The sequence below is a fragment of the Homo sapiens genome, chromosome 1, assembly GCF_000001405.40.
Source record: "Homo sapiens chromosome 1, GRCh38.p14 Primary Assembly".
In the NCBI taxonomy this organism is placed as follows: Eukaryota; Metazoa; Chordata; class Mammalia; order Primates; family Hominidae; genus Homo; species Homo sapiens.
In genome coordinates this window covers 13,784,800-13,801,634 of record NC_000001.11, presented here as the reverse complement: position 1 = coordinate 13,801,634, position 16,835 = coordinate 13,784,800, and the positions used below count along the sequence as shown (strand labels likewise).

Below are 16,835 nucleotides of genomic sequence, written 5' to 3'. Positions count from 1 at the left end.
CAAGAACTTTAGGAGACGGGCACTAGTGCATTTTACAGATGAGGAACTAAGGCACAGAGAAGTTAGGCAACTTGCCCAAGAACACACAGCTGGCAGGCGGCAGAACTGGGATGGAAGCCCGAGCCATTTACCTCCAGTGCACAGGCTTGTGAAACCAAACGGGCGTGTCTCTGCACAATTTCTGAGCCTTTCATGTGCTGACAGGCAGTGTAAATTCCTAAGAAGAGGAGACAGGTTGTCATCTACCCCAAACATATTTCCCTTAGTTATCTGATAGCCACTGACCGCTCACTCTGCCAGTTACTGTGGGTTACAGTGCTGAGCCAAGCAAACATACGCTGTGAACGCACAAGGGGAATTCTGCAAGGGATGGCTTTGTCAAAGCCTATCCCTACTTAGTTCCAGGAGAGTGGCCTCCTGCACAGAAGGGCCCTGGCCTGAACCCTCCCCTTGCCCCCTCCATAGGATGTCACTTCAGTCCTCGCTCACGTCGATGCCCCTGCCTGCAGTGCCCTCCCCACCACGGCCTCCTCTCCAGCCCCAGGGGGCACTACTGGAACACTAGGTACGTGGAGGCTTTTGACCCATCTGGTTTGACCTGGTGCTCCTGGAGAGGCAGAGAGCATGAGGTTTAGAGTCTGACAGTCCTAACTCCACCACCAGCAGCCTGAGCGGGTCACCTGCCCCCTCAGTACAGTTTCCTTTATGAAACGGGCCTAACGCCAACTTCGTATAGCTGGGGAAGCATTCCCAACTCTGCCTGCATGGTGCCTGGAACAGAGCAGGAGCTCAATGGAGTTCAATCCAGAGAGGCTCTTATGAGAGGAGACCCCCCCCAACCCTCCTTCAGTGAGAGCCGGCCCAGCAGCTGGTCACTCAAAGCAGGGAGTCAGTATGGGTACATTTAAGCATTTCTTAATTAGAAATAGAGGGATGTGTGTGTGTTCATCAACCTTTTTGATGGAGAAAAACACACAAACATGCTGCCTGACCGCATTTTAAATTCATGACCCCAAAACTCCGGTGGGCTCCCAGCGCATATGCCTCCTGGCAGCCCTTCTCTGTTCCCTGGTGCCGTTCCCTTGATTACCCACATGGCTGCTGCTCACCGTCTCCCCTCTTCCTCCACATCTCCCCATCCTCACCCACCTCCAATGATTTCGCTCCCTATGGCACACAATGATGGTGGAACAAGACTTCCACAGTTTGCGCCCTGCCTCCCTTCCCAGCTGTCTTCTTCTTTGTAAGGCGGGATGCCCCCTCCTGAGCCCCACTCCTCCCATGGGTGCCAGGCCCCATCTTCTTTCATGTAATCAAGGCACTCCCCATTTCCACTCCAGAAGTCTCTATTCCCGCATCTGTGTTTTATTTCTCTCCCTAGCATTTATCATCTGACATGCCATCTATTTACTTACTTTCCTGTCTCCACCAACTAGAACATAAATTCCGTGGAGTAGGACATTGTGACAGTTTTGTTCCCTGCTATATCCCCTGGCACCTAAAACAGTGCCAGGCATGTAACAGCAGGCGTAGGCCCCGCATTTATGAATGAATGAATGAATGAATGAATGGCCAAGATCTGCACTGCCTTTCTGGACTAAATCACACCCACATTACATCATCTGTTAACTTCCAGTTTTTGTTAAAAGTGCAGAGAGAAACTAAGACACTTATAAGGGGAATCTGAGTACAAAATCCTCCTATGCCTTTACCATCTCTGCCCTGGTCCCGGCACATTTTTAATTTTCTCACCCACACCTTGTTGGACTGCAATTTTTAAGCGAATTACTATGTGCCTTTCTAAGTATTCAACTTGTTTTTCATAAATAGCTCTATGCTAGTCATTGGCTTGTATAATATTTAATTAGATTGTGCAAGTGTGATAATAAATACAAGCGGCATAAACAGGTTTGGGAACAAATGCAACTGACCTTTGGCATGCATTTAACTTGGCTGCTGGGAATGGAAGCACACGGACTCTCCCTATGAGCAGTGGTCAGGATTTCCAGAGGCAATGAAGAACATGCATTAATATTGGTGGGTCGCTCAAACTAAAGTCAGCTGGGTTTCAACTGTATGTTTTATCCACAGTTGGCGTTCCAGCAAAAAAGTTCAGAAGGATTTCTGGTCCTATTCCACTTTCCAAGGCCTTGTGCTTTGCAAAATGTTCTCACTTTTTTTTTTTTTTTGAGATGGAGTTTCGCTCTTGTTGCCCAGGCTGGAGTGCAATGGCGCGATCTCAGCTCATGGCAGCCTCCGCCTCCCGGGTTCAAGCGATTCTCCTGTCTCAGTCTCCTGAGTAGCTGGGATTACAGACGCCCGTCACTATGCCCAGCTAATTTTTGGTATTTTTAGTAGAGAAGGAGTTTCACCATGTTGGCCAGGCTGGTCTCGAACTCCTGACCTCAGGTGATCCACCTGCCTTGGCCTCCCAAAGTGCTAGGATTACAGGCGTGAGCCACCGCGCCCGGCCTCACAATTCTTAATTCTCTGTTCTTCCTTAGGCAATGGTGAACATGCCGGACTTAGTGACGAAGTAAGTGGCGGAGACCTCTGTGTTTGCCTGGAGTGCTTGTGTTTGTTACCCTTTGATCCAGCTGACTAAGTCACATTACCCAGCAGCTCTGACTCACCACGGTGAAGGAGAAATCTCCAAGGCAAGCGATACTGTGTTGCAGATCCGGTTTTTGGAACAGCTTTGTTAACACAGCCCATTCAAATGCACATGGCACCATGAAACCCATCAGTGTTTAAACCCTAAGAAGATGATTCATTATTTTGAGCAAAAGTCAGAAAATGTGCAAGGAAAGTCATCCATTGCTATGTATTTTGGGAGGCTCTACTAGGGAAGGATCGATCCCCCCATTCCCACCCCTTAAGAGATGTCAGGTGTCAGGAGATGAAATTCAAGCTTGGTACTACAGAAAGGGTGACCCTATTTTCAGGTCCAAAAATAGGGGAAAAAGAACCTAGAAATCTGAAGGAATAGTTGAATAGTTCTACCCCCATGATGTTCAGTTATAGTCAAAGACAGCCTGTAAGGACTCGAATCTTTGGTGTGTGTACCAGTGTAGACTGGGAGGGGAGACTATAATTCCACCAGTACCTTTGAATTAATACACTGTGCTGTAGTGGGTTGCTAGCAGTTTTATACTGGTCTCTATGGGTTACTGATTGGCTTTCATTATGCATTCTTAACCTTAAGGACTATCCCCAGAGGCAGTAACACTAATTTTAATTAGCTATCACCAGCCTTTTCTTTCGGCTTGATTTTAATGGATCATTTACCTATGAACGGACATTCTTTGTTCAATCACCAGCAGTTAATTGCCCCAACATTCACATTTTAAACCAAGAGGGTCATGAGTTAGGGTCACATAAGTAGGTCACTGAGGCGGAGCGGTAGCTTTGGCTCTATTATCCTTGAGGATTTCTTTTTCTTTTTCTTCCACAAATACTGAGTTCCTACCACATGCTCAGGCCTACGGTGGGTGCAGGTGAACACACACATGCAGGGCGCTGTGTTGGCGAACCCCCAATTCCCTCTTACCTACGACACTCAGAAATGTCCCCAGCTCCTGAGCTGCCCCTGACTCATCTATCACCGGGTTGTTATAAGAATTAAGGAAAAACATAATTGAAAGTGTTCTGAGAGTTGAAATGTTGCTGTAAGTATATCAAAGAGATGGTAAACAAGCAAAGGAAAAGAATTTAAAATCAAAATCAGAAGAAATTAAGTGATGAGATGAGTGATACCATGTCATTAAAAAAAGTAATAATACTTTAAAAGCCCTCTGAAGTCTGGGTAAGACTCATGTGACAAGCTGATAAAAATGAAGATTTCAAAGTCCCACCCCAGAGATTATGGTTTAGTAGGTCTGAAACTTTTAATCACCCAGGTGATTTTTTAATGTAGGTGGTCCACTGAGCAAACATCCTGGGGAGATGATCCAAACTAGGGCCCCATCACACACCCAGGAACACAGACAGGAAATGGCATTTAAAGCTGTAATTAACAACGCAAACCAAACCGCAAAATGCTCTTACCTCGCCATGTGCCACACACAACTCGGAACAACACTTTAATAAAACACCTGCTGTTAGCTGGCACTCACGAGCTGTGTCTGTAATTTTTAAAAATGCTTTCAAAGGATATAAACCTATCATTAATTACAATGTTGAAATAATCTGGCACGGCATATATTTCAACTACAATATCTGACACCAGTTCATTGAGGCCTATCAAACAGTTGGCTCCTACGTGAAGGTAAAGTTAACACAGATTTGTTTTCACTAAACTCACTCGTAAAATTAAATCACAGGAGCCTAACATAAGAATGAAGACAGTAAGAGTATAAAACTCACACCTGTAAACATAAACATTGGCCATTAGAGAAATTCCAAAACAATTCCAGAGTAACATCCTGAATCCATAAGAGAAATCCATTTCATGGGCAGGTCATCAATCTCTGCTAAAGGTAGTGAACTACCAGTACTTCCATGGGTTTGTAAGGACCAGCTCTCTAAAACTATCAAGATTAAACCACTTGGCACCAAATAGATTATTTATTCTAAACATAAATTAAAGGACATAGGATGGTAAAGAGAAGGAAACTCTTGTTTCAGAACTAAGGAACTTCACCTGGCAACAAATATTTGCTGAGAAAGGAATTGATTGCACTTTTACCCAAACTTTTGTTTCGTTCCCTCCACAAATCATTTCTTTAACTCGTGTTTTGGGAGCTTAAAAGAAAAAAAGCAGTCCATTATACGGTGTGTTATACTTAATACTCTCCTATCTAGGTCACTTGTCCCAGCAACATCACTTACCAGCACAGAACCAAGAGCCAAAGTCTATTGTGTTTTGGTTTTTGGCTTTCTTGGAGACAGGGTCTCACTCTGCTGGCCAGGCAGGAACACAGTGGTGCAATCATAGCTCACTGCGGCCTTGGCTTCCTGGGCTTAAACAATCCTCCCACCTCAGCCTCCTGAGTAGCTGGGACTACAGGTGTGTGCCACTGTACCTGGCTTTTTTATTTCTTGTAGAGATGGGGTCTCACTATGTTGCCCAGGCTGGTCTTGAACTCCTGAGTTCAAATGATCCTCCCGCCTCAGCCTCCCAAAGTGCTGGGATTACAGGTGTGAGCCACCGCATCTGGTCAAGACCTACTGTTAATGAGTGAGCAAACCATGTCCACAAATCCATGTTCTGGAATTAATGCACTTTGCTTACAAGGGAGGTCCTTGGGAGATCTCTCAGGGCCAACCATCTCTTTGTTTACATATGATATTAACAGGACCACAATCTAGCTTCCCAGCCCACAATTAACAGAAGCATATCTGAAGGATGCCAGGAAGTACAGACAATATCCATGAGTGACAGATGGAAAAGGAGATCTTGAGGAGTACGCTCTTCTCAAAAGTCACATCTCAAGCTTCTGGATCCTCTAGTGTGGGGTCAGGATCTCCTATATGCCAGAATCATCTTTTCTACAACAAAGTATTAATTGATGGTTACCTTGAACCCTCAAAGAAGGGTGAAATTGAGTCCAGTGTAGTTTTAAAAAGCAGAAAAGTAGCAGACACAATGACATCACAGGCAGCAAATACCTGGCACTCCAGAACCACTCGCCTTCCTGCATACAAGGCAGACATGGGTCACTTAGCCAGCCCTCTTTCCCTGAGTGTGAACCCAGCTTCAGAATCCAGTTCTATGCAGCACCCTGGGCAACTGCTCCCCCTACACAAATGGAAACCTGCTGGTCAACCCTGGCTTGGAAAGACTTCTGTGAAAATAGAAGGGGGAGAAGTTGACCCTAGAGAGTAGGTTCATCCATCCTCTGGGCTGTTCAGTATCTAGATCTGCTCCTTCTCTAACAAAGCTGGAGGGATGAGGCTCCAACCTTGGTAAAAACGAGGCCTGGCCGAAACCTCAGACATGCTGGTTTCCCAAGAAGATACAAAATGGGTTCATCCCAGGAAGAACAAAGACATCCATTCACCCGCAACACAGTTTTCAGCTCCTTCAAATCTGCTGGTGCTTCTTGTCCAGCAGACAAGGTGCTTACAAGTCACATTCTTTGCTGCTTAAAGGCCATGCCACTAGAAGGCGGCACAGGGGCGTGACCAGGGGCTCCCTTCTACCTCCTCACGCCTAGATCCACAGACGAGAGGTAGCACAAACTCATGATTAAGAGATGAGACAGACTGCCTGGACTTGACTCCTGGCTCCACCTCCTACCATCTGTGACTTCAGGCAAATTGCTTGACTTCCCTGTGCCTCGGTTTCCCCATTTGTAAAATGGGAGAACATGAAATTATTCATAGGGCTCTTTTGAAGATTAAATGAGGTAATACATGGAAAGCCCTTTATTTACATCGTGGCCAGCAAGCATTATCGGTGATCATCCTTACATTATTATTGTTTCAGCAAAGCGAGGTTATTTGGTTTTCATGGTTTGACAGAGCTAATGAAATGCTTTCTTCTTAACTTACCTTTTAAAAATTGACATTGAAATTCAAAACCAAAAGAAATAGAAAGTTACAGGGAGGGGGTGATAGAATAAGAATGAATCATCTTTTTTCTCACTTTGAATTGGAAAATGATTTCTTGTCTTACAGCTCACTTCTCTTTAGTTCTGATGGGTGGGAGCATCTGCTATAAGAAGGAAGCAGCTCTGGTCCACAGAGGAACAGCTCTGGCCTGGCAAAGACACAGCAAAGGTCCTTGGTGCCACTGGTAGCCAAACCAGGAGTTACAGGCCACTTGAGAGCTTTCTCTCTGGGCAGAGGCAGGAGATAATGAGGGAATGTTCTGGCTACTACAACTCACGCTGTCATGAAATCTTATACATGGCATGCCAGGCTCAACTTTTCATCAGATTCAAACTGAGATTAGAGAGGACATCAGTCAGTCATAATAGTGATGCTGACAGCAGCTGACGTTGACAGCACTCACTGGGGTGAACAGCATCTGTGGTCCTTCCAGGCTGCTCTAAAGTTGTCTTCGTGGCAATTCTTTGTGGTCAGATTGATTACTGCCCTTCCACAGAAAGGAAAACGGGCTCGGAGAGGTTGAGTAACTTGCATAGATTACGCTTACAGAACTACACATGATAAAGCCAGAATTCAAATATTTTATTCAACAAATATTTATTGAGCAGCTACTACATGCCAGGCTCCATTCTATTAATAGATGCTGGGAACGCAGCAGTGAAGAAATCAAAGTTCCTGCCTGGGTAGAACTCTCATCTAAGAAGGGGGAGACATAGAGTAAACAAACATAATGAGTCCATAACAGAATGTACAGAAGGCTTAAGGGTCTTGAACAGTAAAGCACAGCAAGTAGAGGGATGAGGGACCAGGCAGTGTGACAGATCGATGGTCAGGAAAGGCTTCTTGGAGGAGGTGCCAGCTGATCAGCCTTCCAGGTCCAGAGCCAATGCCCGTACCTACATTCCGCTGCCTGTCATGAAAACAGTAGAACCTCAACCCCGGCTAGTGCTGGCCTGCACCTCACCATCTCTTCTGTGGAATGCAAGTGGCCTTCAGGAAATTCTGAACTTGGAATTTCCATTTCTATGTAATCATGGCAGACCAGGCTGAACTGAAGCTCTGTCTCAACTTGCATTGCTCCCATGAGGGGCCCTGGTCTCAGACTGAGAAAGGCTCCAGGGATCCCAGGAGAATCAATGTCTGGAGCTCCCCAGGTACCAAGCTTGTCCGACCTGCAGCCCACAAGCTGCATGCAGCCCAACACAAATTCATAGACTTTCTTAAAACACTAACTTTTTTTTTTGCGATATCTTTCTTTTGTTTTAGCTCATCAGCTTTCATGTTACTATATTTTATGTGTGACCTAAGACAGTTCTTCCAACGTGGGCCAGGGAAGCCAAAAGATTGGACATCCCTGCTCTATGCTCTCCATGAGCCGGGACTCAATTGCTCCGCACTTACCTAGATAGAAAAGAATACATCATTCTAGAAGCCTTTAGGAGTGTTTTAAAAATTCTGACAAAGCTCTAGCCTCACCAAAGGATAGAACCACCCACTCATGAAATTAATAGAAACTTATGTTTCTCAGTTCCCACAAAGGGCTTTTTTCTCTTTCAGGGCTTTTGAAAAGTGAGTCGTTTCTGCAACAGCCTCGTCCCCAAGTTCTTTAGTGATCACCATCATCCAAGTTCCCCACATGCTGCCCCTTTCCACCCGGGGCCGGCTACTAAGACCTGGCAATTTCCTTAGCGGTGCCTCCCTAGGTCTGTTTTTGTGAGGACTTGAGCACCTGACGCGGATTAAGCGTCCACTGTCATCACCAGCGCCACCACAGCCATCAGCCATTGGATCCTCACTGGGAACACATGCTGCCTTCTGTAACGCGCACGGCATGTGGCAGGTGGGGGGCACAGAGCTCCCCTACAGGCCAGGAAGCTGGTCACTCTGTGGGCAGCATGCCCTGCCACTCAGTAACTAACAGCACCCAGGTAAGGAACACCTAGATGGGAAGGCATTCAATGCCCATGTTCTTCCCATGATCCTACACACACTCTCTGCAGTAAAACTGCTCTCTGGCCATCAGCATCTCATTTGGGGGACACAACAGTTATGTACATGCAAGTCTCTCTAAAACCCAAGGGCACAGTGATTAGGTGGTTTCAAATTGTAGTTGAGCTTGGCTCTGGAACCAGATGGCTGGGTTTGGGGTCTCCACTTGTAGCCATGGGACATAATTCAAGTGATGTTGCCTCTCTCCGACTCGGTTAATCTATCTGTAAATGAGAATACCATCTCCGTCAGATGTGGGAGAGCTCAAAATGTAAAGCACTCAGAAAGGTGCCCCACGCGCTGGAAAGGCCAGTGACACTCCAGGCGCATCCTCAACTCCCTCCATGGTGGTTAGCTACACCCCGAGGGTCCTCTAAGAGTCCCAGGACAAAGTCCTTCAGATCTACAGCCTGACACTTTGATGATTCAGATTGGCTGTTGAAAGATGTTTTCTGAATGGCTGGCTGACTGAATCACAACAGGAGAATGTGCCTGAATTCACAAGTCCAATAATAGCCTGGAAATAGAAGCCATCTGAAAATGTTCTAAACTCTAGCTGGGTTGGCAAGGATTGGATGCGATTATAAAAAGCAAGTGAGAAGAGAATGTTACCGCAAGGAAAATTGAATCCATGAGTTTTAAATAACTTCATTCCAATAAAAAAAATTAAAGTATATTTTGGGCCAATGATTAAATGCTACGACAAATTCAACTGCTGTACACTGAAATTGTTTTTAAGTTAAAAAATTAAAATACCCATAACTGTCTCCTAAGGCCTAAATGCCCTTTTGTTAACTTACCTGTGCCACAAATTCCAGGTTTTTTAAAGTGAGTCCTATTTTAAATGTACATTTAGATTTAATGCTAAGACTCAGTAGATGTAGGATTCCAGATTGTATCATAGGCTCCTGTTTAAACATGAATAAGGAAATATTCTTAGCTTAAATATGTTCTGAATCAGAACACAAACCTGGGCTTTAAAATTCACCTGTAGCTTTCTGTGGTTGCTGAAATGACACTCCAGTTCTTTCTCCCCTCACTGAGTAACTCAGGTGGCACCTATGAAAGGGTGTTCAGAAACATGGCTTGTTCTGTTGACTTCCTGCCATGGTTTATTAGCTGGACATGGGAAGGCACATTTAGGCACCAGTCTTCCGTAAAATGTTTATGGTCTCCAGAATGTCCACCTGAATTTCTATTTTAAAAAAGAGTTGAAAAGAAATCCAGCTGACATAAGGAAGGCAGAAATGCAGGCATGTGCAAATCCTATTACCCGCAACAGGTCGACAAGTTTATTTTAATAAAAGTATTTCTGGGTACCTTTTAATGACTCACAATTAAATGCAATTTTTGCAACTGCAAGTAATTTAATGTAGAGTGATGATGGTTTCCTCAATTCTTAATCTAGAAAACTAAATGAAACCTACACACCCCCTCCAGGTTCTAATCCTATACTTTAAAAATAAGGTATCGGCAGAACGTAAATACCTGTTTGTTTTGCATGTAACAAACACACTATTTGCTGAAGTCGGGAGGCAGCCTAGACCAACTTTCTTTTTGGGTTAATGCCCAGCAGCTCAAGGTTCTCCGCCGGTATCTGAGGAGATGCTTGAGGATCCCAGGGCCTTTAGAATCATCTCCAAAATCAAAGGGTATTACTATAATGAGCTTGGCTTCTGTTAAACAGTCACGTTGCCGTTGATGAACCACATGGCTCTATAAAAGCCAGCTTGATTGACCTGAACTAATTGGTCTGTGATGGGGGTAGAAGTTTATTCCACAGTGAGAGGGAAACTAAAAGCAAATGGGTCCAGGAGCAACTCCTGACTAATAAAGGCTCGCTGCACCAGGAAGATTTCCTTACCCACAAATGACTGTTCCACTTGTTCACTAATGCTTGGAAAAGCTTTTATGGAGAAGGTACTGCGTCCTGTTTTCTATATTTAGAAGAAATAAAATCCCTTAAAAAAAAAAAACCCTACCTATAAAAACGATGGACTGCACAGTGTAGCTTGGAGTTCAAATCCCAACTTGCCACCTTAGAGTTGTGTGCCCTTGGAACAAAATCACTTTCCCCAAATCTGTTTCTCCATCGGTAAATGACACCAACCTCAGGCTGTCATTGCCAAGACTTGTAGATGCTCAGCAGAGTACCCAGCAAACAGCAGGCATTGGAAAGCCAGACTGAATCCACCCTAAAGCTTCTCAGATCATTTCCACCACCACTCAGAGGAAGCGGCACAAGGGCAGAAGGGGGGGAGGGAGGAAGTGACATGACCCTGTGTAGGTGGCAGCAAGGATCGGGCCTAGGGGCCTGGGACTGCAGCACAGAGATCCATGGCACCAAGGAGCAGTTTCGCACTTTTTTCCCTACATGCCACCCACTCAAACCTCAAACCGTATTCAACTTCTATTTTGACATTAGATGTTCTGTCTAAAATCTTAACGGTCACGTCATCATTCCCACCAATCTGGACCTTTATTTTTCTTATCCCATAATACTGTGTATTCAAGGTTCTGCTTGTGAGGCAAACCCTTCAGGAAAGGTCAAGCCACCAGAAGGGCAAGGCCCAAGGGGGCTTGGGCCTTGGAATCAACATAAGCCAGAGAGAAACTACACATTAGGCCCGTGGTTCCTTCACCCTCAAGGCCCACCACCTCCTCTTTCCACCAAGTGGACACGGCTCAGGATTGGCTTCAGAATAACCCTGATGCCCCAACGCCAGATGCACGGCCCCGCCAGCCTTAGAAAGAACGGGAAAACAATAGTGCCCACTTTGCAGGATAATTATAAGGATGCCATGCAGCACTGCGAGGCCTAAAGCACACACAATCCTCTAGCAATTGAGAGCTACACTCATCTGTTATTCTTCCCATATTAAATTCAGAAATTCTCCTGTGCCCTGAATTTACCTGGGGTCTTTAAAGTACATATTACCCAGGCAGGTCCCAGCCCTAAATGGACTCATTGTAGGGCCTTGGAACTAGTGGTTTTGACAAGCTCCCCAGGTGAAGTGTGGAACCCACGGTGTTGAAGGGCAGGGCTTGTGGCTCCCCGTTTTGTTAAGTCTAGCAGAATGGCCCATCCACACCTGCAAGGCCCTCGAACATACGCTCAACAGCAGTGCTTCACCAGAACCTTCACTGAGGCTGCCTGAAGCGGCAGCTGCAGGAGTGGTGCCATCAGGCAGGAAAGAGGCCATGAGAGCTGGGCCTGTAAAGGCTGACGGGGAACGATAAACCATTTTCTGTAACTATCAGCCTGGTCTTTGAAACACTTTAAATGTGGCCTTTATATCCTAGTCAACCCTTTTCTCATCCGCCTGTGCTCTAATCCACTTTCAAGGTAAATTGCCCTTTATGATTTTTTTTATGGATTCAAGTCAATATATTCAAAGCGAGGTTCAATATCAAATCAAAACCCACATGAATAAAATATCAAATGCATTAAGTGAGCTATAATTTTAGTAGAGTCATTTTAAGCTAAGTATTAAAAGCCGGCAGTCATCTAGATTACTGGCATTCAGATATTAAGCTAGAAGCATCTCCTTGTCCACCTAGCCTCTGGGGAACTGTGACAGCGAGGAGGTTTGGAATATGAAGTATAAAGTGGGGAAAAAAGCCACTATGAAAATACAAGCCCCACGGAAGTCAGGATTTTTGTCCATTTTGTTCAGAGATGTATCCTAAGCACCTACAACACAGCCAGGCATACATTAAGTACTCAATACATTAAGCTGGTTTTGTAAAATTATCTTGCTAGAAAGTACTTGTAACAACGAGGACAAGACAGCCAGCCTAGCAAGGCATTTACCAGAAACACTGTGAAATGTTTCAATGGTAACAGGGATGGAAGGCTCTAATTAGCTTTTGATTTTTTAAAAACGTTTAACTCTATCAAAGAAGAGCCAAAGCAACCCAAACAGGGCAGCTTCTCCCTTGGTGAGATGGATGTGATGTGGTTCCTTGGTGACTCCTCCAGTAAACATCTGAGTCCCTGTCATGTTCCAGGCAGAGCCAGGGACACTGTGGAGACCGAGCCATCATCCCACTCTTTCAGTCCAGTGCTTGTGTCTGACAGCATCTTGATCCAGGAGAAAAGATCTCCTCCTAGAGGGCGCACTCAGAAACCAGCCAGTCTACTCCCCACTTTTTGCAGACTGGGAACTATGATCCAGAATGTAAAGGAACTTGCCCAAGGCTAAAACACAGAAGACGCAGCCATGGAGGGCGCTTGTTGGAGGCCCGTTTACTGAAGGCACAGGGAAGGGATGAACGGCCAGCAGATGGGTTAGGATGGAAATCCAGTTCTCATCCAAGACCGTGCTCTTTCTCACAACACTCAACTCCTCACAGGGCACTGCTGTGTGTTGAAGCCTCATTTGTTTAAAACTACTAATATCGAAGACCAGTTCCAGATTCCCACCAACCTCTCTCCTCCGTGTTTTTCTAAGGGAGGAATATCGTATGCCAGAACATCTGGCCAAGGGAAGCTGGCTATCCCTTCACCACCTTTCCCTGAGGAGTGACAGACAGATGTGGTTAGCAAAGTGCTATGATGATGAACTATAGGAAACCGCTTATAGTCAGCCATTTTTAATCTTAAAAAACCCCAGCAATTTCACATAAACTGAGTATGTCACAACTTTTTGGTTTCATTCTTTGGAAGCCCATAGAAATAAACATCAATCCACAAACTACAGTAAACTTTTAGGAAGCACAGAGACCCCACAGATGAAATTATTTTGTATTTTACTCTTACCCGAGTGAGTTCACAAGGTACTTCTCGGCACCGTTGTCTGACTACACGTCCACCCTCTACATAGAAATCCAACTGGAATGAGCACATATTCAGTTACTGTCAAATAGAAACAAGTGAACAGACGCCAGGTGGGCTGAGTAGACGCCGCACTTTTAAATTAGAGTGCGGGCTCTGAACAATCCTCCACACACACCTTGTTTTACCCCCTAACTGCTCCCAATTATGTACAAAATGCAGTCCTTTCACAGATGTTTAGAAAGTTTTTTATTGGTTACAATAATATAAAATGCATTGTTTAAATTCTCCTCTAGTTATTAAGTGTTTGCAGCAATAGCACAACAAATCTTTTTTTAATACATCTGACAAGCCCCAATGATTTCAATGCTGGGAGGGGAAAAACAACAAACACCACTCTTGTCTATCTATAATTAACCTCTCTCTCTCTCAGTGCTACATTGGTTAAAATCAATGGACAACCCCTTTTTGTATGTCAAATTGTAAATTTTAATGTTTTCATTAGAATAGTCTTTTATAGCACTCTCCAAAAAGAAGCAATAAAATAACTAACAGCAAAGTTCAATACAGGAGCACTCTCCGGGTTAACAACGCCAACAAAAAAAGTGAAATGTAAATCACATATAATACAATTGAAGCGTCCAAAACAATTTAAATAATTTTAAATATTTTATTTTTAAATTGCTACAAATGCTTTATACAATATTTCAACATAAAGTCCCCATAACAGAAATGTAACAAAATGGGAATGATAGTGGAAGGATTAAAGTGGCACAAATTCACCAAACAAATATTAAACTACAAATTTTTCAGAGGTAGATTACTTTTGAAGTTGAGAACAAAAAACAGTATGAATAAAACCTAGCCGCTTTCCACCAACTCAGTCATTAATTTAGGGGGAGGCATAAAATGTAAGGATAAATGATATTAATATACTTAGGAAGAGGCCAATTTGTTGTTTTTAATCTCTATTAGAGATGCAAGTGTAAAACCTGGTATGCAAATTCATTTATACTTACGTGTAGACATACATCTGTACAGGCCTGGGATGCGCCTGTGCACTGATATATTGCTACATAGTCTCTGATAATATAATAGTTATAAATTAGTGCCAGATAAGAATCTGAGAGGATAACGTCCATTTGGATATACAAACGCAACACCAGAATAGGCATAAAAAAGAGTCCATATCCAATCTGGTTTCCTCTCCATTACGCTGGCAATCTACTTGTGATTTAAAAAAACGAAAACAACAAAAAAAAGAAATACCAGGGGTAAGAGATCAGCTAAATGCCTCTCTCTGTCTATAATTAATTTAAAAGAAAGGCATCAAGAGCTGATATGTGACCAAAACGTTTTAAATGAGTGCATCCAAATCTGTCATCCCTGAAACCTACAACAAACTACTGCTAAAACAGGCAACTTGCTTTGCAAGGTTAAGTTCAAATCAATCCTTTCTCTGCTACGTGCCAAAAACAAGGGCCATGCTCAGATCTGAGGTACCAGTCCCATGACGAGGAGCCAGTTCATCTGGCCTGTCTTACAGTGCCCTTCTCTTTGGATCTCAATCACCCGGGCGCCCAGCATGCGCGTTGGGCCCCCACCGAAGCAGCAGATGCCTGACTCTAAGCCTGCCGGCAATCAGCTGAATGTTAGGATTTTTGAGTCAGCTTCAACTGGTCTTGCAAGCTTGGTAGATTTCGTATCCTTTGCCGTAGTGCTTATCCTAAGTTGAGCATGCAATACTTTTTAGTCAATTAAGGTTTGTTTTGTTTTGGGGGCTTTTCTACAGGAAGTTCCTAGAAAATAAGAAAACTGAAGATAAATGACAACAGAACATAACCTTACATGATTGACCATGTTAAAGAAAAAGGTGAATAGACCGTAAGACAAATGTTATTAAGACGACAACACATACATGACTGAAGGCATTTAGGAACGAGCGTCCTACCCAGAAGACACACCCTGCAAGGAACTACACGCATTTATTTCCAAGGGATGTAGCAGAGATGGAGGCATGAGAAATTAGCACTTTTTTTTTTAAATCAATTCCTGGTAAATGGAAAAACTTGGTCTAGAATTTCATTTTGCTTCTCTACCTTTTTCTTGACTGCGATGGGAACTCGGTTTGAAAAGAAAAATGTGGCTCTAAAAGAAGCATTAAAGAACCCAAAAACACCAGGCACGGTGGCTCACACCTGTAATCCCAGCACTGCAGGAGGCCGAGACGGGCGGATCATAAGGTCAGGAGATCGAGACCATCCTGGCTAACACGGTGAAACCCCATCTCTACTAAAAATACAAAAAATTAGCCGGGCATGGTGGCGGGCACCTGTAGTCCCAGCTACTCGGGAGGCTGAGACAGGAGAATGGCGTGAACCCGGGAGGCAGAGCTTGCAGTGAGCCAAGATCGTGCCACTGCACTCCAGCCTGGGCAACGGAGCGAGACTCTGTCTCATTAAAAAAAAAAAAAAAAAAAGAACCCAAAAACACCGTGGGGTTTACAAAGGTGAAAGATGAGTAGGAGGTGAGTAGAGAATACACCTCTTTCCTTCCCTTTCTGCTTTACTGGAGCCCATGGAAATGAACCCTTAGCAACAGATTTAAACTCAGCACTCCAGAAAGCCATGGCGAGGGGTGGGGGGTGGGTCACTGTAGTAAGAGCTGCAGCAGGAGAACCTGAATGACTGTGGCATGCCTGCTTTCCTGTGTTTTCTCCTAAGAAAAATATTTGGAGCACATGGCTTTTTGACACCTTGTCTGGCACCATGGCTTGTGTTCCAGGAAATGACCCTCAGTGTTAAGTAGAAAACTCATGGAAAAATCATATGGCTGATTGCAAGCATGTACTTGAAAAACTGTGGAATCCGAAAGTGGCATTCACATGTAAAATATCTGAGTATGGAAAACTAGCTCTTAATCACAGCTTGTTGTAAAGAAATAACACAGGACAAGGATGTGCTGCCTGTTCTGTAAGAAATCCCTGTGTACCCAACAGGGTAAGTAAAGCAAGCTGCAAACAGAGTGAAAGTGAGTATTCCTCGACATGTAATAGATGTGATGATTCCTTGTGTCAGGAATCATCCCTACACGAAATTTACAAGTAGAACTATACTTAAACAGAAAGACGACTGTAGTTCAAACAACTCCTTATTAGTGTAATGCAACAAATATGCACTGAGGCTGAGGCCTCCTCTCTACGAGCCCTGGGCAACACGTTAATGACAATCATCATATTACCCAGGTCTAAGTTTAGGAATCCCAGTTTTGTGCTAAACTCACTACAAAGTACTAAGACCAAAACAAACACTTTAAAGAAATGCCCACTTTTGTGTCCAGATAGTCAAAATCTATCTTGATGAACATCTGTTTTCTAATTCCCAAGAACACATCACAGGTTTATGGTGACTTGGTAAGTGGACCCCTGGATCACATTCCTGACCTACAGATGTGTCCGCAGCACAGTTCCAGCACCTCACACAGAGGAGGAAGAGCTGCCACCAATGCCTGTCAT

The 16,835-nt window shown here is 44.2% G+C and overlaps 1 protein-coding gene across 14 annotated transcripts in view, besides 1 other annotated feature; it reads right to left on the bottom strand.

The window, feature by feature from the left end:
- PRDM2 (PR/SET domain 2) overlaps positions 1–16,835 on the bottom strand; it is a 124,892-nt gene that overhangs the window by 23,445 nt on the left and 84,612 nt on the right. For 5 of the 14 annotated variants that reach the window (XM_047429995.1, NM_015866.6, XM_047429998.1 and 2 more), the window contains one exon: positions 13,554–15,120. The exons of the other annotated variants lie outside the window; for them this stretch is intronic. In XM_047429995.1, the coding sequence (XP_047285951.1) occupies positions 15,108–15,120 (13 nt within the window). In that variant the 3' untranslated portion in view covers positions 13,554–15,107. Of the gene's footprint in view, positions 1–13,553; positions 15,121–16,835 lie in introns of those variants that run through there. 14 annotated transcript variants of the gene reach the window in all.
- Positions 8,354–8,854: an enhancer, noted in NCBI's record as "H3K4me1 hESC enhancer chr1:14119276-14119776 (GRCh37/hg19 assembly coordinates)". NCBI's record gives its function as "activates a minimal SCP1, AML or CMV promoter by ChIP-STARR-seq in primed H9 embryonic stem cells {active_cell/tissue: H9 hESC(primed)}" and the evidence as "EXISTENCE:reporter gene assay evidence [ECO:0000049][PMID:30033119]".